Source organism: Homo sapiens, chromosome 2 (assembly GCF_000001405.40).
Source record: "Homo sapiens chromosome 2, GRCh38.p14 Primary Assembly".
In the NCBI taxonomy this organism is placed as follows: domain Eukaryota; kingdom Metazoa; phylum Chordata; class Mammalia; order Primates; family Hominidae; genus Homo; species Homo sapiens.
This window is the reverse complement of record NC_000002.12, coordinates 113,971,431-113,992,129: the sequence shown is the minus strand read 5'-3', so window position 1 is coordinate 113,992,129 and position 20,699 is coordinate 113,971,431. Positions and strand designations below refer to the sequence as shown.

Here is a 20,699-nt window from a genome sequence, read left to right as displayed (position 1 = left end):
CCTTGCACACATAGGGATGGCTGCCAGTATTGTGACTGCTGAGAAAGCCAAGGGCGCTGGAGGTTGCCTTGCTCAGTATGTAGTTTCCCTTGGTCCCTTTTTCACCACCTCGCCTTGCTTCTAGCCTTAGCTGTGTGGCTGACCCAGGCCCAGAGTTTCTTCATCTCAGTTTTCCCCCAGATCGCCATTCTCTCCTCAGCCCACTCTACTCAGTTTTCCATCATCGTTTCTGAAATGAAGACCCTCTTACCCAAGTCCTCAATGGCTTCCACCCTGCTGAACCCAGAGGATGATTTTCTGCCCTCATCTAACTTAGCCTTTCAGAAGAATTCAGCACGGTTTTAGTGTTCTCATATTCTAAAAATTCCTTATTGATTTCCTAACAGGCAATTTCCTGGCTAAACTAGGGATCCATTTCCCACAAACTTTTCTAAATGTAAAACAGTCATGTCACTCTCTGGCTTAAAACACACTAAAGCTTCTCATCACACTTTGAATGTATCCAGTTTTCCTTGCTGTGGCCTACAGACTCCACATCATCTTTCCCCACCTGCCTGCAGCTCATCTCTAACCACCCTCTGTGTGTTCAAAATGACCCACTGGCCCTCTTTCTGTGGCTCAAACATACCCAACTTAGTCCTCTTCAGGGGTTCTACATTTACATTCTTCTCCGCTAAGTATCATTTCCTCAGATCTTCCCAAGACTGGCTACTTCTTAATTGTTATTCAGTTCTCAGCTCAAACATTAACTCCTCAACCAATCCAGTGACACAGTCTCCTACCACTACCCCGGTCACACGTATTATATGAATATGTTCTATTGCCACCATGACACTTATAATCATGTAATACAATCTTGATTTTTTTTTTATTCTGAGCCCCCTGCAAGAACGAAAGCCCCGCATGGACAGAGGTGCTGTCTGTTTTGCTCCCAAGTGTCATCAATCAGTGCCCAACACATAGCCGATCCTTGATAACTATTTACTGCATGGATGAATGAGGTGGGTAAGCAGTCATGTGCTCAGCCCTGCATGGGAATCACCGCAATACTACTAAGTGAAGGATCCATTTTCAGCTCAGATTACCACCTAGATGGAGCTCTTCCCACCAGAAGAGATTTAAAGTGCTCCTCAGCCATCATGGTACCCAAAAGTACTCATCACCTCAGGGAGCACAGAACTTCTACCTAGAAAGGGAGAAGACAGACCTCACAGTGGCATTTCTCATCTGTAGAAAAGCAGGCAACTAGCAAGCAATAAAATCTTCCAACGAAAATATTTAAGAAAAATTCAGTACCTTAAGACAGAACATTGAACAAGCGAGCAAGTAAATACTAAGAACTTAGCACAAATAAGTGCAGCATATGGATAACAGAAAAATATCTAAAATAGCCTTTAAGAGAGATTATTCTCTTGGCCTCACCAGTTATGGATTCTAGTCACTTCCTTGATATAAAATAACTAAAAGTTGCCATCAGAATTTGCTCTAAATATTTTAGTATTCATGTTACCTAAATATGCATAGTGAGCTGCATATAGGTCTCAATAAAATGGTAATGGATTAGTCAATAACCTAATTCAACAATTACCTAAGTTAACAAAGCCTGCCTTAAAGCCTATCTCTCAGTATTGCATATATATAACATACAAACAGTTGGATATTAACGATGCTTTCTTAAAAATGTGAATGCTTTTTGATTCTACAATTCTACTTTAAGGAAGTTAACCCAAGCAACTAATTAAGAATAAGAATTAATTTGTGGCCATAAAGATAGTCCTTACAATGTTATTTATAGTAGCAACCTAAATGTCCAACAATAGGAGATTGGTTATAGCCATTTTAAAAATTATTCTATGGATAAATATGTATTGGCATAGAACGCGTTCATTAGATTGAAAAAGCAGGTTACACAGCAATGCGATCCCGTTTATTTATTATACATACGTGTGAACGTGTAAATATACGTGTGAATATGTAAATGTGGAAGAGACAGAATAAAAGAGCAAGGAAGGGCATACAGGAACCAGAGATTTAATTAGGTTGGTGCAAAAGTAATTGTGGTTTTTGCCATTGAAGGTGATAGCAAAAGCCACAATTACTTTTGCAACAACCTAATAAAAGCAGTTTCACTGAATAGTAATATTAGCAAAGATATTTCTTTTACATATTTTTGGTTTTTCTTTATCCTAATCTAATTTTTTTCCTACAATAAATAGTTGTCACCATTGTAATATAAGAAAACTAAATTTTTAATTACAACTATGTTGGTGATCAGAATGGGTGTTTCTTCATTTATTCTATCTGAAAGTGCTGCATATAACACACGTGGACAACAACTTTAAGCACAAAATAGACCTATGAGCCCAATGCACACCCGAAATTTGTATCTTTTTTTCACACAGTTGAACTGCCATTTCTCTTTACACCAGCCTAATTCTTTCACCTCCATGGAGCTATTATGCCCTGCTTCTCCCCTTAGCCCTCTTGTTAGCTTTTTGTTTGTTTGTTTGTTTGTTTTTGAGAAGGAGTTTTGCTCTTGTTGCCCAGGCTGGAGTGCAGTGGCGCGATCTCGGCTCACTGCAAACTCTGCCTCCAGAGTTCAAGCAATTCTCCTGCCTCAGCCTCCCGAGTAGCTGGGATTACAGGCACCTGCCACCATGCCCAGCTAATTTTTTGTATTTTTAGTAGAGATGGGGTTTCACTATGTTGGCCAGGCTTGTCTCAAACTCCTGACCTCAGGCGACCCACCCACCTCAGCCTCCCAAAGTGCTGGGATTACAGGCGTGAGCCACCTCACCTGGCCTTGTTAGTCTTTTTATTCTTTTTTACAGGCTCCTTGTTTTAGTCAATTTGGGCTACTATAACGAAACACCATAGACTGGGCAGATTAAACAGCAGAAATTGTTTCCCACAGTTCTGGAAGCTGAGAAGTCCAAGACCAAGGTGCCAGCTAGTTTGGTTCCTGGTGAGGGCTCTCTTGCTGGCTTGCAGACAGCTGCCTTCTTGCTATGTCCTTACATTCCTTTTCTCAGTTTATGCACATAAAGAGAGAATGAGACTTCTCCCTCTTCCTTCTTATAAGTCCACTAATCCCATCAGAAAGGCCCCATCCTCATGGCTTTATCTAACCCTAGTCACCTCTCAAAGCCCCATCTCAAAATACCATCAAACTGGAAGTTAGGGCTTGAACTTATGAATTTGAGGGTAACACAAACCTTCAGTCCATAGCACTTCTCTTCCTCTGATTAAATATGAATGTTTCACAGGGCTCTGTCCTGATGTTCTACACATCCTCCATCCTTCACACACAATGATGGTTTTTGCCACATCTTTTTTAAATCTCAAATATCTACTACTATCCCAGGGAGACCTAAACTTCAACTCCAGACCTAAACCTCTCTGGAGTCCAACAAACAGCTCAAGCACACATACCTTAAAGTTTCTTACCTTATCGAATCCTATCTCTTCTTTGTGTTTACCATGAAGGTGAATGAATGGCACGACCATGTACCCATTCACCTGAACCAGCAGCCTGGGAGACCACCTACACTCTTCCCTTCATGATACAAAGCTTTGTATCATAAGCTTTGGCCAGTCCTACCCAGAGAAAGATCACAAAATAGATAAGAAGTGTTCAGGTCCAGAATCATATGGAGAGAAAAGAAAAATTGTTCAATCCAGAACTTCAAGACCCAGAATTCAGACTTTAGTGTGAGGAGTGTGACCTGCCTTGCATGGAACTATTAGTGATTCTAGGTGCTAATGTAACCAAGCCCATAAAACTCACAGTTCTTAGCCTCTCTGGCCTGGTGGGCATGTCACTTAAGTGGATTACCAACATCTGCAAAATATGGGAAACCTCTAGAAACAAGAAGGGCAGTGGGAGGTCTTTGTTCTAATCCCACAAATGGCATTAGTTTGCTGATTTGAGGTTTTGTAAGCAAACCAAAGTAAATGCAACCTTGAACACAGGTGAAGTCCTACTTCTCGCCAGATTTGGCTTGCCTCACATTGATCCTGTAGATTTCTCAAATACATCTCAAATTTCCTTTTTCCACTTCCCTTATTAGCTCATACTCTAGCCATTTCTCTCCAAGATTTGGGCTCAGCTCCTAGTTTTCTCCCTCACTCAAATCTTTTCCAACTCTTACCTATTCTCCACAATGCCCCAGGAGCTGTCTTTCTAGCATGTTCCTCATTGAAAATCCTGGAATGGCTTCCCATCTCCCCCTGAAATAGAAGTCCTCTCCCACAGGCTCCTGCTGGCCTATCCACACCTTTGCCCCTGCATCCTCCACACTGTGGCTGCACTTGCCATTCCCAAGCACTCTATGCTCTGTCTCCTCTACTCAGCGCAGGTGCCTTCACTCGCCCTGGCTCTCCCCCTGCCCAACCTCCCAACTCCTCTCCAATTGAGAACCTCCCTGGGAACACTCCACAACACCACCCCCCAGAGGTTTCAGAGTTCCTTCCTACTTGCTCCCATCATTCCTCCAGGGCATAGCCTCCAGGGTAGCCAGAACTCGCCGTATTTTATAGCAGGTGTTTCTTGACCTCTCTCCACCACACTGAAGGCACTTAGAGGACAGGCACGGAGGCTTTTCACCTTTCTTCTGACATATAATTTTGGGCTTAGACATAAATGTTCAAGAAGTATTTCTGAATAAATGGATTAAATAAAATAATGAACAAACAAGCCAACAAACGACTGAATGGCACTGATGATAATAGGTATTCACCTCTAGGGTAAAAACCTGCTTCAATAGTGCTTAGGAATCCTTGCCTTTAGAACACTGAAATTGGACAGTGATGTTACCCTTGTGAAGTTATTTGGGTTACGTGGAAATCAGGGGAGTTGGGATAATCCAAAGAGGAAAAGGCATAAGAGGCCAGCCTGAAGAGATTTTCAAGTTTCTGCCGTATTGGTGTTTTTCCAATAGCCACAAGGAGATATTGCAGCTCAAATCCACCTTTTCTTAGCAAATAAGCTCCAAAAGATGATTCAGAGAAAACAAATTCCATTGAAAGCCACGTTCCATTAATCAGGGGCTCTGAGAGGTGACCTGCCCAGGCAGCTATTGGCCTCTTCTGCCATTTTATATTTCCTCTTTAATCAAATCCCTGGATGCTACAGTTCTCAACTTGCAGAGATTTAAAAGGCACTTTGATTAATGGATTTGATCAGTGTCCGCTCTTGTTTAACCATGGTGCTCTCCTCTGCGTTTCACACCCACATCACACCATCCCCTTTTATTACAGGAACTGAAGAATGGGATGGCCTGCCAGACAGCAGAGTAATTTATGAAAAATATATTTTTAAAGGGAGAGTGTATTAAAGCTTGAAAAGAACTCAGAGCCTGTTGCTATTTTAATTTTAAATAGGCTATGCAAATAATTAAACGTTAGGTCATATTGACACCATCAAATTTGGGAGAGTATAGATGGTATACAACCCCAGAGTCCTAGAGAACAGTAAATCAGATCTATCAGGGCACTGCATCATATCCTGCTTTTGACATGAAACAACAGTATCGACTGGGTTAAAAATGAGCCAATTTTCAAAAACCTCTACCTGCTACAAACGTTTTCACATATACCACAGCTCTTTAAAAAGAGATAAAGAGAAATTGAGATGAATTCATAAATATATTTAAGCACTAAATCCCTCTTTGGTTTTTTTACTTTTCTTAAGCCTCTCCTGCCTCACAAAAGCCTATTTCAAATATTGACTTCAAGGAGAAGATGGATAAGAACAGCCAATATTCAGGGCTAAGGTAATGGAAGCTGCTCAACCTACTTTAAGAACAGCCAATATTCAGGGCTAAGGTAAAGGATGCTGCTCAACCTACTTTAGAACAGTTTAATTTGGATATTTACCTGAACTTTGCTCATGGCTTTGTACACCTGAGTCTCAATCAGGCACACCAATACGTACTGTGTACTTTGAGCTATATACTGTGTTCTGTGGTGCAGCTCTTTCAGATTAGCAGGAAAGTTTTACAAAATCCTCTTAAAATGACATTGAGAAAGCACAAATTATCAGTGAATAAATATTTATTGTGCGCCTACTATGTGCTAAGAATTCTGCAACGTTGTAGAAGTGTCATGATGAATAAGACAATGAGGAGAAGAGATAGCAGAAAATGTGCCTTTCTTCTTTTAAGTTGCCTAACTAGTGATTCAGGGAATTCTTCCTTCCAGAGTATCTAATAACTGGTTATCCCACAATGGCCCAGAATTAAATTGAATGTCAAAAGGAAACCAGTCTTGCATCTGGGATTGGTTGGTTGGCCAATAACCACCGGTGACAAAAGCTTTGCGTTGACCCCAGTAATTTGTCTCTCCATTGCCCACGGCAGACATCACTAATCAATGGCAGCATTTGGCCATCTATTCCACAGTTATTTATTGAGTGACTCCTACATGTCAGCACTCTCATAAGCACAGCAGACCCTGCAGTGGTTGAGACAAACAAAGTCCCTGCCCTCTTGGAACTTACATTCTCGTGGGGAAATAAGGCAATACACAAGAAAAATAATTTTAGTTAATGAGAGGTGATAGGAGTACAATTAGGTAAGGAAAGGGGATAATGTGTGCCTAAGGGAATCGGGGAGAGACGACACTTTTTAGCTAGGGTGATCAAAGTTATCTCAGTAGAGGTCACATCTGGAGAGAAACCGTGAGATCTATTCCGCTGGCTCCTCCTAAGCAGAGCACTCCAGGCAGCCACTACCAGTCAACTGCTGATCAGACATTTCTGTGCTATGAATGAGCCCTGAGTAAGGCATACTAGGGAATGGAGAAGAATCCAAAGTAAAAAGCATTCAATGTAGCTATGGGATACATGTTTAACAAAATCAAACATTACAAGATTGAAAGAAGACTTGAAATACTTGTATTCTAGTCTTATTTTAACATTTTAGACTCTCAGTTTCCTCATTAATGAAATAAGAAGGTTGGATGAAATAATCTATACAATTCCTTTTAGATCCTATGGTCAATAATTCTAAGAAGTAAAGTGGGGTTTTAGACAATTGGAGAGAGGGTAGATTAAGTAGAGAAGTATTTTTGTGAAAGAGGTCATTTGAACAGTCAGAGGAGAAATGAGATGTACTATGACTTCCTGGAGGCTTCTGGATAACCAGCAGAGCCACAGTCAGCTCCTGATTTTGCAAACAGCTTCAACTACCACAACCCAAAGCAGTTTTCACCTTGAATTCGGCATGTAAGCCAACTGGCGTGGTCTTCTCAGCCGTGTGCACATTCAAAATCTCCAGCATCCCAATCTGTCATCTGCTCATCTCAGAACATAAAGAGCTACACAAGGCAAATCACCACGTTGTGAGACAAAGAAGGGAGGGTTATTAGAGATTCATCGGAAAGAATCCGCCTTTCACTGCTGCCTGCGACAGGAGAGCCACCATTTCAGAAGTGTCACAGGAGAGAATTACAGGTTTCCACAGTCATGATGGGTCTGGATCAAGACTCAGGTATTTATTTTTAAAATTCTTGATTTTGCTCCACAATAGCATTAAAAACAGGACCCACGTGCATAAAAATGTCCCCTTTTTATACAGGTAGTAGTTCAAGTTTGGGTCCTTAGCCATAACCCAGATACTTATATGTTACTATGACACTGTGAGTTTGGATGATAAATGATTCAAATTCATTTTGTGGGTACAAAGTGCTTCATAAATACTTAATCTCCAGAGTGATTTCAACTTAGAATTTCTGACCCTATTTGGACTTCTCTTTATCCAAGTCACACCGGGTCCTTGTTCTATTTGTAAATACGTAACGTTCCGCACCAGCCTCTGCACCACTCCCCCTGCTGCTGATGGATGCTGACTTGGGTCCCGCGCCCAGGCAGCCTGAGAGATGCAAGAGAAGCCAGGAATGGTCTTTTGAGTAGCCTGTGATCCCAGAATAGCTCCACTGATTTACTATATCTCCCGTTTTCCGTGCTGTGGAGCAAAGATGGAACTATCTTTGTGACCTCTGCCAGATCACAGGGATGGATGTTTTCTTGAGAGGATGCTCTCTCCAGAGAAAAGCACATGACAGCAATCCAGCATTTTGGAGGTACTAACTGTTCATCCACCAAATCACAGTCCCCAGCCTTCTGCCACGAATGAAACAGAAGGTGATCAGGGACTTGCTTTCTCTGGGAACATACTAGAAATGGAAGTACAGATATCATCTCTTCTATTTCCCTCGTAAAATAGCACTCCCGAAGACACTCACTCAGCATGGCTTTGGCCTACACTCCAGAGAGCCTTGAGGATCAGGCTGGAGTCTACTGGCCAGAAAAGGCGTGGTTAGTTATAGAGCACAGCAGCAAAACTACTTAATCTCTCTGGTCTTCAGTCTTCTCATTTATAAAATGAATGTTTAGGTCTGTCTCTTGGGCATTAACCTCATGGTAGCCTATCTGGTAAACAAGCCTGGTTTGAAATCCCATCTGGCACTTACTGCTTGTGCTGCCTGGCCTCAATTTACTTGTCTGTATAATGGAAACAATACTCACTTCAAAGAGTAACTGTAAGAAAGAGATTAGTTAAGCACATGGCACAATTGTTAAACTGCACTGAGCTGTCTCACCTTATTTCTGTAGACAGAGTCCTCTTACATTACCATCCAACAGAGTTCTCTTTCCCATGGAAGTGCTTGCTAAACCTGAGCACCTCCAAATCCAATTTGACAACAAAATTGCAGTGCAGCCCAAACCCTGTTTGAATGAAGAGTTTATCTGGATTGTTTCTGTTGAAGATGAATATCCCAGGCTCATCACACCTCCCCACTCATGAAATCTGTGAGAACAACCAGGCGTGCAACACAAAATGGGGAAAGGAAAAGCAGACCCCCGGGAGAGAGTGTTAAGTGCATATATATCTGCTCTATTATCTTAGTGGCTTAGGACAACAACCATTTTAGTTTATCTCATGATTTTGTGGGTCAGTTTCAGGCACATTTTAACTGGGTGATGGTATCAGCTGAGGTCAGTCTGTGGTATTTAGATGTTGAGTGGGCTGGACTGGAGGGTCCAAGACAGTTTCACCCATGGTTTGGGGGTGGGAATGGCTGGAGGGCTGGGCTCAGCTGGATCCATCTACTGGAGCATCCACCCATAACTGTGCCAACATGGCGGTCTCAGGGTGTCAGACTTCTTACACGGTAAGTTGTTTCAAGAGACCAAGGCAGGAACTTCAAGGCTTCTTCTGATCTAACCTTGGAAGTCATGCACCATCACTTCTACCACATTGTAGTGAGCAAGTCATCAAGGCTGGTGCAGACCCAAGGAGGGGGATAAGACTTCACAGTTCAACGGGACAAGTGGCACTGAACTGGCAGCCATCTTTAATCTACCTCAATATCTGAGCCTCAGTTCTGCTCTGTAGAATGGGCTATGGGTAGACCTCTCCCATCTTCACATCCATTCCAGTGTTACCGCCAATGTCTTTAATATCTAATGAGGAAGCCAAAGGCGAGAGGTCACAGGGCAACCAAAAAACTCCAACAAGTAGGACTTAGAGGCTCCCCTGACTTGCCACCATCTCAAAATAAATTGCTTTCTTCTATGTTTGAGTCTAGTCTGTATCTAGAACCACAAAATAATAATAAAATGAGGCTGGGCGCGGTTTGGCTCACTTAGTGAATACAGCCTGCTACAATTCAGTTAGTATATATTATCAATGGTAAATAAAGTTCTGGAAACTACATCGTATGAGGAAAGTGTGGTAAAAAAAAAAAAATGGGGAGGCACCTAATCCTGAGAAGAAAAGATAAGGGAATGCAACATTTACTTATTTTCACATATTTAAGTGGGTATGGAAAGCTATTTTCTGCTCACTAGAAAGCAATGGTTAACCACTAGATAGAAATTACAAGGAAAAAGATTATGCTTAATACAAATTTCTGGTTTTTTTCTTTTGCCTTCACCCCCACCCTCACCTCTAATTTCTTTTAATAAGATGGAGAAATCAGTTTTTCCTAACAGCAGTTATGGAAATACCTCTAACCATGGTAGTGATTTGGGCTGTTTACCAATAACCTAGTGCTCACTTCTTCTGAGCACAGGGTAGGACTTCATTTCCCCACCCCTTCCAGGTTAGGAATGGCCTCCTGGCTAGCCTTGACCAAAGACATGCGATTGGAAGTGTTGTAGATTACTCCATCCAAAAACACTCCAAGAGCCAGTGTGCAAATTACCACATCCCCTTTCTCTCTTCTGGGCTATTGACGAGTGGAGGCACCGTTAGCCTGAGTCCTGAGTGAGGAGACGGAGCAGACCCCTCAGCAAGATTGTCAGCTCAAATACAGGATGGCCAGTTACACCCGAATTTTAGGAAAAAATAATAATTTTTAGTATGCAACATTTGAGACATACCTATACTAAAAAATTCGCCGATTATCTGAAATTCAAATTTGAATGTCTTGTATTTTTCTTTGCTAAATCTGGCAACCCTATCCTTAAGTGATTCACGGTAGTTGTGAAACATCAGGAAGAAATAAACCTTGTTATTTTAACCCACAGAGATTGAGGATTGTTACTGCCAATAACTTAGCCTATCCTGACTTAACTACTTCCCATCTCTGGTGAGGGAATATGTTGATGAGGCCTAAGTGTAGCCCCAATATTTGAAAGGAAGAAGGCAGTTTCTGTACATAATAAAAGAGAAACTTGGGAGCTCTGGGACATAATTTAAGAAGGAAGGATGGGTAGAAAATTGGTGTAACACAGCCTCAGCCATCGGGGAACTTCACGTCTACTTGGAAAATAAAAATTAAAAAAAAAAAAAAAAAAAAAAAAAAACGAAAAAAATAATGGTAGAGAGAAGTCCTGAGAATAAAGAGGCCATGTGGGTTTGGAGCAGGCATGGAAGGACTTCATGGGGAAAGGAGGTTTGCCTGGCCAGGAGATAAGCAAATAAGTAGGACTGGGGATGTAGAAGGGCTGAGAGCAGCCATGCCCCAGGGAAATGAGTAATCATGGTTTGTCTGTGAGGTTATTGTCTAGAATTGCCAGAGTCTACAAGACCAGCTGTCCCCGAGGGTTGGAGATAAAGTGCTAGGTGGTGTGGAAGTTGTAAGAATCAAAATGGAGTTACTAATGTTTTTTCTTTAAAAAAAAAAAAACTCAGGCTGTGCGCAGTGGCCCACGCCTGTAATCCCAGCACTTTGGGAGACTGAGGCAGGCGGATCACCTGAGGTCAGGAGTTCGAGACCAGCCTGGCCAACATGGTGAAACCCCGTCTCTACTAAAAATACAAAAATTAGCTGGGCGTGGTGGCGGGCACCTCCCAGCTACTCAGGAGGCTGAGGCGGGAGAATCGCTTGAACCCAGGAGGTGGAGGTTGCAGTGAGCCGAGATCGTGCCACTGCACTCCAGTCTGGGTGACAGAGCAAGACGCCATCTTGGGAAAAAAAAACAAAAAACAAACCAAAAAAAACTTGACAAATAGAGCTAGGGAAAGCTAAGAAGAAAGCACTCCCACACTTGTATGCCTGATAACAAAAACTAACACAAAAGGCTCTACAAAACCATAACCTTGCACAAAGGCCATCACAGCCTTACACATATATATAAAAAAAAAAAAACAAAAAAAAACCTCCACAAGGACATTCGCCCAGCAACTGCCTGTCTAACCTTGGACTGGCAACCCCTTGTTATTGATCTCTGTAGCCAAGGATAACCATTTGAAAACAATTATGAAATCCTCCTTACTTTCTCTTTGAAAACCTTCCTCTTCCTTTCTTCCTCTGCCTCCTCGAATATGCACAGTTTACTATGACATGCGTGTTACCGTTGCAACGCTCTGCTCCTGAACAAACGCCTTTCTCTAGACAGCCTCTCACTGTGTGGTTATGCAGCTTGACAGGGGCCCGCTGGACCCAAGTTTACTGCCTCTGGCAGGCGGTGGTGATGACGGGGAGTAAAAGCACCTTGTGGGGAGTTGAAGGGAAAGATATTTCAACGCAAAAACCCAGGCACTTTTACTACCTTTTGTTTGATGCATCGGTGTTACGGGAAAGCTCCTTGGCAGCGAGGGCCTGGCTCTTTATCGCCGTGTGTCCCCGCCCCACGTGGGTCCCATGCTTAGCCCACGGCGGGTGTTTGAAAAGCACGGAATGTATATGGCGGGACAGGGCGCGCTGCGGATACACCGGGACGCCCCCTCAGCCGCGACAGTAACGGCCTCCGGCCACCAGGGGGCAGCCAGGGCGCGCTGCGGATACACCGGGACACGCCCCTTCAGCCGCGACAGTAACGGCCTCCGGCCACCAGGGGTCGGCCAGGGCGCGCTGCGGATACACCGGGACGCCCCCTCAGCCGCGACAGTAACGGCCTCCGGCCACCAGGGGGCGGCCAGGGCGCGCTGCGGATACACCGGGACGCCCCCTCAGCCGCGACAGTAACGGCCTCCGGCCACCAGAGGGCGGCCAGGGCGCGCTGCGGATACACCGGGACGCCCCCTCAGCCGCGACAGTAACGGCCTCCGGCCACCAGGGGGCGGCACACGGCGCCTCAAACTGTAAACGGCTCCGGGCTTCGGAATCCGGGCGGGGAGCGGAGAGCGGTTCGCAAAAGCCAGTTGGTGCCCGGATGCCGGCATTGTCACGGGATCGCGGCCAAAGGGGGTAGAAGACAGCGCAACAGTCGCTCTTCTTGCATGAAGCTATATGCATCTAGTGTGACGGATTATCCTACCTGGAGACTGTCTTTTTCAGCTCGGCATCACGGGGGCGGGGGCGGTGACCCCCATCCGGGCTCCCCGGGGGCGGTGACCCCCATCCCGGCTCCCCGGGGGCGGTGACCCCCATCCCGGCTCCCCGGCCTTCTCTCCTCCGCCCGCTCCTGCCTCCCTTCTGCTTACTCCTCTCCTGGTCAACAGGTCAGCTCGGGGTCCTGCTTCCAACCTCCTCCTCCTAGTTGAAGCCGGTTCTCAGGAGAGAACCTGCCATCCGCAGCTTTACACCTCGGCAGGAATGTAAATCACTCTTCTCCCGTCCCAGGAAGCCTTTCCAGTGTTCTGATTCCAGAAAGCAGGTGTGTGTGGCCGGTTCAAGGAATTTCAAGCATCAGCAGGCAGAGGAAAGTACCAGAGTGGAAGGCAGCCCACAGGGTGTCGAAATCAAGCCACCCAGGGAGCCCGCAGATCCCACCCTCTCCGGTGAGAGAGTTTGGTGGGGAGCACTTCATCCAATGCAGGGAACAGCGTTACTGCGGCCTTCACCTCCCGGCTTCAAGTGATTCACCTGCCGCAGCCTCCCAAGTAGTTGGGATTACAGGCGCGTGCCACCACGCCGGGCTAGTTTTTGTATTTTTAGTGGAGATGGAGTTTCACTATTTTTCTCTCCCCATCCCGGGAAAGTTGTATCTGTTTACCACATGTTCTCCCACATCTACTCGGTTTTACCTCTGTAAGGCCTGAACTCAAAAGCCAAGAAAAAACCTCTTTCTCCAGAACTTTACCTTTTCTGGCAAAAGGAAGCAGGGAGACCTACTAGGAAAATGCCAAGAACAAAATGATTAATCATGTGAAGACGGCATCTACCACCTCAAATCGCCCAGCTCATTGAACCTGCGTGAGGATCCAGCACTGTCCCTGGTGTGTACAGCTCAGTGCACCGAGATGACCAACCGCCTGGGTTTGCTTTACTGTCACTGCTAAAGGCAGGAAGGCAGCTGCCAAACCAGGACAAGGTGGTCACCCCACGGTGAACATCAGTCACCCTCCCTAGCCCACACAGGCAAACAACCGGGGGAGACTATGGCTCAGGGCTTAGAACCCAAAGGCCTGAACAAATGAGGAAGTTTCTACAACAAAGACTTTCTTTGACAGAGTAACCAGTCATAATTTCTGAGCATTCCAGGAGCGCTGTGCAGAATCACAGGTATTTGGCAACTAGTGGGATAAAACAAAGGTGCCATTGAGGATGTTTACAACCAACCCCTCTCCGGAGATAACCTCAAGGTCTTTCCCTTGCACATGGCCTTTCCATGACTCATCCACAGCAGCTGCCTCCCTCCACCACACAAAGGACCCTGCAAGTTCTGTTTGGTATTCTTGAGAATAAAAACTCCGTGGGTCGTTCCCTGGAATTGGTTCTCACCCATTTTCTTTCCTCTGACCGTAGCCAGGATAGGCATCTAATTCTATAGCTTGTCCGTGGAATGGAAAAACAATTTGGATTTTCACAACCTGAAACCTAATTTCTGGTAGGAAGGTACCATCTGGTGGATATTTGTGAAACTGCTCACGTCCTGTGTTTGAAAATGAGCATCTGGGGGCAGCGTGCCTCTCCGAATGTCAATAGGAACGTTGCTCCGAGAGGAGGAGAGATCCACACTCAATGTGGCTGATCCCCTTAACTATGTGACACTGTGTATGTGACTATGTCATAAGCAGCGTCATCCCTGTTTACAGTTTTCTCAGTTTACAATGAATTTAAATAGCTACCCATTGCCTCTTCCTCTCCAAGCGTACTCCTTGCTCCTCCGTGACAGGCACATTGATCTATGAGAGTTGTCTCTTGGGAAATCTAGTCATATCTCATGCGAACATTTTCTAATTGGTGCACCCACCCCTCTGTGGGCATGTTCGCACAGTGTCATGGGCCCTTTGTGGAGGGTTGTCCCCTTTGTTCACCACAGCCCCTCTCTCTGAGACTCTGCACCCCCTATAGGAGGTCGGGGGTGTCTGCCATGTTTGTGGGACTAGCCCCCAAACAGCAGGGTGAGCAGGGTTGACCACTTGCTCAAGCTGGGCAGTCAGATTCTCACTCTCTTGAGATCTGGAACCAGTATTCAGAAACCACGAACAAGTGCAGCTGGATCTGCGGTGGGGTGGACCCCAGCGCTTAGGGGCATGCTGCTGCTGCCATGTGCACAAAGCAGCAGCCCTGCCTGGCCTGCAGAGTGAGTACCAGCCCAGAGCAGAGACAGCTGGAGAGGCCCTTCTGCCTATGCCCTGAGGCAGTCCACATCCCTGGGCTGCATTCTGGCCCTTGAACTTCATGGGTTATTCTGTTATAACAATGAATTCCCCTTGATTACTGAAGCAGGCTCTGGTGGTTACTTACATTTAGACACACACACACACAGAAACACACACACCCCTGCTGATGAAGGTCTATCAGCAGATCCTGAAGCCTGACCCAGGGGGTCTCACAGAAATTAAAAAAAAAAAAAAAAACATGCTTCTAATCAAAAAAATGTTAAGGGATTCCATGTTCCGTATACACCTGCTGTCAACGGGGAGATAAACCAACCTGCCCCAAGCCTGTTTGAAGGTTTCAGCAAGGGAGGCCACTAAGCCTCTGCCTCAGCTGAAGAGCAGAGGCTGTCTCCACAGGAAAGATCATCCCCCATGATGTAAACGGTTTGTGGAGGAAGTGCATGGTGCAGGAGGAAGGAGGCACTCCCTAACCAAAAGGAAGTTGGAGTTTTGGTGGGGAGAGATGAGGCAGCCAGAGAGAATCTCCATGATGCTGCCTGGGCTCCCCAGAAGCCGACTCTGAGCAGAGTTCAGTGGGCAGGAGATTTATTAAGGAGTGTTCTCCGATCCATACCTGTGGAAGGAAGGGAGATGAGGCAGGAGTGGGTAGAGGGAGGAGTTGAGCTGTGAGAGGGCACAGCAGGAGTCTTGGCCCACCCTACAGGGAGCTTTGGAGTTTTAATGGCCTGTCAGGCTTGCCCATGTTGGGCTAAAATGGCCTGGCTTTGTCCTTCTGTGTCAGTCAGTCACTGGATGTGGGTTGCCCCACGAAGGCTGCGACCTTGGATGAGGAGGGTCTCTATAGCATAGAGCTAGCTGTCTGCTGTCTGCTAATGGGGTCCCATCAGTGTCTGCTGCATGCTGATGGGGCCGTCTTCTGATGGGGTCCTAGCAGTGGGGTGGCAAGTCCTTCCCTGTGGGAGTTCCTGATCTGTGAACACCAGCTGGGTTCCTCATGAGATTTCTACTACCTTGTTAAGGTCTCGTGCTGTCTAGGAGATGGCATTGTTCTTGTTCTCTTCCTTCAATGAGAAATTGACAGAAATAGATGGTTTAAATTAAACTATACCCAAAAGGCCAGGGACTAGGTGAGGAATATTGTGAAGTCATCATCAATTTTGTTCCATTTCTACTTTTGCTCCTTTGCCCTTCCCTTTACATACTATTCCTCCCCTCTTTTTTATTTTCTCCCCTCTCTCCATTCCTTCCTTCAGTTGTTTTTCTTTTCCCACAGGATAAGCAACAGGACAGGCTAATTCACACTGTAGAATAAATGACTGCTAACTAATCATTCCAGTCCAGTGCCATCTTCCATTCCTGCTGCAGTCCAGATGTGCATCACAACTGGATTTAGATCATGTCCTACCTGGTCTCCCTTCTCCATTTCTTCTCTAGTCCACCTTGACCACTGAAGCCATATGAAGCATCACTAAATGCCACCTGCATCAGGTCACTCCCTTGTTTAGGAGAGTACAGTGTCTCCCCAACCCCTTCCAGGCCCGGTTCAAGGACAAGCAGCACTGGCCCAGGAATTAGAGGCTCAAGGGGCCATGTAGCTCAGAGGTTAGGAGCATAGGCCCTGGAGCCCAACTGCTGTGCGAGTCTCATGATTTCCAACAATTACCAGCTCCATGACTTTGGGCAAGGTACTTACCCTCTTCTGTCTCAGTTTCTTCATCTGTCAAGCGAAAATAACCTACTGTGAGGATGTGATTAATCTAGTGAGTACAATAGGTGCTTGATCATCTTAGCCGCTGGTGATATTATTTGTGCTATTAATCACTGAGTATCAAGTACCTAAGTGACCCTGACCTTGGACAAGTCACTTCACCTTGCTGGGGAGGGATCTCAGTTTCCTCATGCTTAAATTGAGGGGATTGCCTAGGTCATCCCTAGGGTCCCGGCCAGCCGCAGCATTCAGTTTCTCTCATTCTTACCATGTCATTCAAGGCTCACCCATCCACACACATTTCCACACTACAGCTATAATTTTGGGCTCACTCTCATATAAACCTTTGTTCCTACTCCTATTCAGCCTAGCATTGTCCCTGCTCCCTTCAGTGTGTTGTCAATCTTACTAGATTATAGGACAGAAATAGGTCTCTTTTATCTTTGTGTGCACACACAGGGTCCGGAATAGCTTCTTCTACATAGGTTTTCACGGAATGCTTTTGGCCACTTTCCAGCTATTCATCTTGCCTGACTCTACCCCTCTGGAACCACTCCTCTAGCAGAAGCCCTGGAAACACTCTGGCTTTTTCAACTGCCAGTTTAATTTGCCACCATCTGTCACAGCGTATGAGTTCCTGGAGGCCTAGAGCACATCCTCTCCCAGAGGCTTAGCGCAGTGCCCCATCCAACCCCAGACAGAGGTAATTTATACACACAAAAAGGCCAGGGTCATTGTGGGAGAGGGAAAGGAAGGCTGAAGTTGGAAGGAGACAAACCCTTGCAGCCTTCAGTTTCTGAATTGTTCCCACTCAGTTTGCAATGACAGAATTCTAGGAATTCATTTCTAAATGTTTAGAAAAAGTAGTGTCTTTGTGTACAGTAATCTTCCAGAAAGAAGAGATCATCCTAGCTATATTGTTTATTCTTTTGTATATTAACACCTGTGGCACCCACTGTAAGTTGTTTGGGGTTAGACCATGATAAGAGAAGAAACTGACAAAAATTCTCAAGATCCACAGGAATGGGAAAGGGAGGTGGGAAGTGACACTTTTTTCTAGAGGTATCAGTGATAAAATCTGTAATACAGAATACAGAAGCCACCACAATGTGAGCAAGTGGGGCAGCTTTGGACACGTGCCTTCTCCCTAGAAGGTCAACAAATACATTCCTGTATGTTTAATAGATGTATATTTGGGCCTGTCACACTGGGCATACTGAGAACACTCACTAGAATTTCCAAGAACTGTAACATTCCTTTACAGAGTAGCCAAATTTCTAGCAAGCAGAGCCCTCCAGGACATAGCCAGGCCTGTGGAGGTCAGGTAGAAAACACCACAGCATCACTGCTCCCCTGTGTGTGCCACCAACGGATGTGCATTCAAGCAGCACAGAACAACTCAAGCCTGAGCAAACCGTGTGCTTCCAAGCATCATGTTAATTGTGAAGCCAATTCAACATGCTGGGAGTCCCTTTTGTGCTGCAGATATAATTCTGAAAATGAGTGCAGACAAGTGCTTCTGAATCCAAGGTCTGGTATTTCCCACTTTCGCCTTGCCAACCTACCCAGCCAATGCTAATGTCTGTTGTTAATGCCGTGTAGTTTGGCCTCTGATTAATCTGATCAGAGGACATGTGCCCAGTGTCTCTTATTAACACTTCATAGTACGGTTCCTAACCTAGGACTTGCTGCCATTTGCTACGAACACGATAGAGTGATTACCGATTGACTTTTGGGGGATCATCTCTACTGTCTTGCCTGGAGCTGTTGGAAAAGGCCTCCTTTATAGGTGCTGCTTCAAAATCCTGCCTCCTGGTCCTTAAAGGGCACATTTTATAAATCGCATGTATTCAGAGTAAATACAGCAAAAAAATCTCTTGAGGGGTTGTGGTCATGCTGGAAAACAACCAGAGCTGGGACTGCTCCCTCCTCATCCTGGAATGTATCACCCATCCTCTCCTCCACTGCTTTCCAAGAAGAGGACTGACCCCTCACTCTTTTCCAGAATTAATCCACTTTTCTCTCACTTTCCATCCCACCATCTGTTGCCTCTTCTGGGAGCTTGAGTCAAAACCCGCCCCTTCTCACTTCTGCCTCCTTAGCCTCAGCGCACAGGTATGCTCGAGGCTTCCAGGAGAACTAACCCAAGCAACCCGCTTCCAACCTATCCTCCAGCCCTCACGCAACCATTGAGCTTTTTTCCTTCTTTAAGTGCATATTTCTTGAAAAAAAAAAAAATAACAAGAGCTGTTTCCAATGATTGGAGCTGTCTCATTATTCTCCCTTACTCCAGGTCTCCTTGCAATCCTCTTCAATTCCCATTTCCCTTCTTAAGTTGATCCCTCAAAGGCCACCAGTGATCTTCCAACTGGGAAATGTAATGACCTTTTATTCAGTCTTTATCTTTGTCATCTCTCTGTAGGCTTTGGCATTTCTGCCAGCTATTTCTTTCATGTCCTTTGCTCTCCTCGTTCCCAGGACACCCTGCTCCCACTCATAATACTGTGGCCACCCCCTCCTTCCTTTTTTGGCTCTTCTTCCTCCTTGGGTCCCCTGCATGCCATTCCCCGAAGCCCTGTTCTTGGCTTATTTCCCTCCTTTACCTTTCTTTTCTCAAGGTTTCAGCATTCACCTCTTCATGTATTACTCTTTATCTTCACTTTCAGTTCTGCTAGCGATCTGTTTCTAGATAATGGATATTATCTCCAATATACCCCTCAAAATCAACAGGTACCAAACTGCACTTACCATTTTCCCTCCTAAATAGGCTCCTCTTATTCTAGATATTGTACCAACATCCATCCTCACCTCTACACCAGTCACCTCAGTCACCTCCCAGGCTAAACAACTCAGCATTGGCCTTCCTCCACTGCCTTTCCCCAGGTCTAATTATGTCCTAAATCCCATCAATGCCACCACTGCACTAGCCTTCTCATAGCCCCCTCTCCTCCCTGTTCCCATGCTCCACCCTAATCCAGGCCTTCATAGTCTCTTCTCTGAATAATTATGTGGCAGACCAATTGCCTGAGATACTAACTTGTGTTTTTTGTGCTGCCTTTTCCCTCCTCTATTCCATGAAAAAATAAGCACCCTGTGCATCCTTGGCTTCAGGTGAAGGCTTCCTGGCTTTTATTGAAGAAAGCACAGTTAGTGCTTTTGAGGACAACAGGAGGAGAGGGAAAGACTAAAAGATAAAAGAGTGGAATACTACTCAGCAACAGAAAAGAAATACTAAACAACAAAATGGTATGAACTATTGATTTCTATAATACAGGCAAGTCTCACATATACAATGTTGGGTAAAAGGAGCAGGACGCTATAGAGTGTATCCTGCGTGATTCTATTTATATGGATTTCTAGAACAGGCAAATTAGACTATGGGGATAACATTTAGAAGAGTGACTGCTTCCAGGTAGGGAGGGGATGGACTGGAAGGAAGCACAGGAGAATTTCTAGAGTGACAAGAATATGCTATATCTTGATTGGGGTGTGCTTATGTGAGTATTCAATTCATCAGAGCACATCAAACTATAAATAAGGTCTATAAATTTCACCGAATGCAGTTTGCAAAGAGGTCAGAGACTGAGAGGGTGAAGAGAGCAACCTCCTAAGCCATACTGATGGCAGACCCGAAGAGGCAGCACTACTTCAGAAGGGATGGCTGTGTGGTGTCTCTAGAAAGCCTGGTCCCTAGAGACCAAGCTCCTATGCCCTAAGCCACAGGAGGCCTCCCAGCTTCAAAGACGTCCACGGCAACCATGATGGGATGGAAATTAGGAATCCTTCCCAGGACTCCCAGACTCCTAGTCATCTTTCCGTATTTGAGAACATGCTTGGGAAAGCAGGAGTACCAAATCATGATATTCAGACTGAATTTCCTACAAGCCCAGCAGAATGGAACTTGAAACACAACCTGAAGAAAATAAGGAAATGGGCATTTCCTGCAAAACAGACTCAGGTGACTGAGAGCCATACCCCGTACAAAAGTAAAACCTCAAATTTTTCTCTCAATTCTTCTCATCCACTTCCGA

The 20,699-nt window shown here is 45.2% G+C and overlaps 2 long non-coding RNA genes across 5 annotated transcripts in view, besides 2 other annotated features; one reads left to right on the top strand and one right to left on the bottom strand.

Annotated features, from left to right (window-relative positions):
• The window catches only part of LINC01191 (long intergenic non-protein coding RNA 1191), a 58,761-nt gene that overhangs the window by 35,953 nt on the left and 2,109 nt on the right, over nt 1-20,699 (bottom strand). For 2 of the 4 annotated variants that reach the window (NR_148509.1, NR_034128.1), the window contains exon 1: nt 12,002-12,561. The exons of 1 other annotated variant lie outside the window; for it this stretch is intronic. This is a non-coding gene — a long non-coding RNA (long intergenic non-protein coding RNA 1191). Of the gene's footprint in view, nt 1-11,725; nt 12,562-20,699 lie in introns of those variants that run through there. One more of the 4 variants, NR_148508.1, reaches the window with a different exon arrangement.
• Nucleotides 12,146-14,461, top strand: LINC02992 (long intergenic non-protein coding RNA 2992). The gene has a single exon (NR_034130.1). It is a non-coding gene; the product is annotated as a long intergenic non-protein coding RNA 2992 (long non-coding RNA).
• Nucleotides 12,264-12,453: a silencer, noted in NCBI's record as "silent region_11891". NCBI's record gives its function as "represses an Ori minimal core promoter by ATAC-STARR-seq in GM12878 lymphoblastoid cells {active_cell/tissue: GM12878}" and the evidence as "EXISTENCE:reporter gene assay evidence [ECO:0000049][PMID:35858748]".
• Nucleotides 12,544-12,693: an enhancer, noted in NCBI's record as "active region_16434". NCBI's record gives its function as "activates an Ori minimal core promoter by ATAC-STARR-seq in GM12878 lymphoblastoid cells {active_cell/tissue: GM12878}" and the evidence as "EXISTENCE:reporter gene assay evidence [ECO:0000049][PMID:35858748]".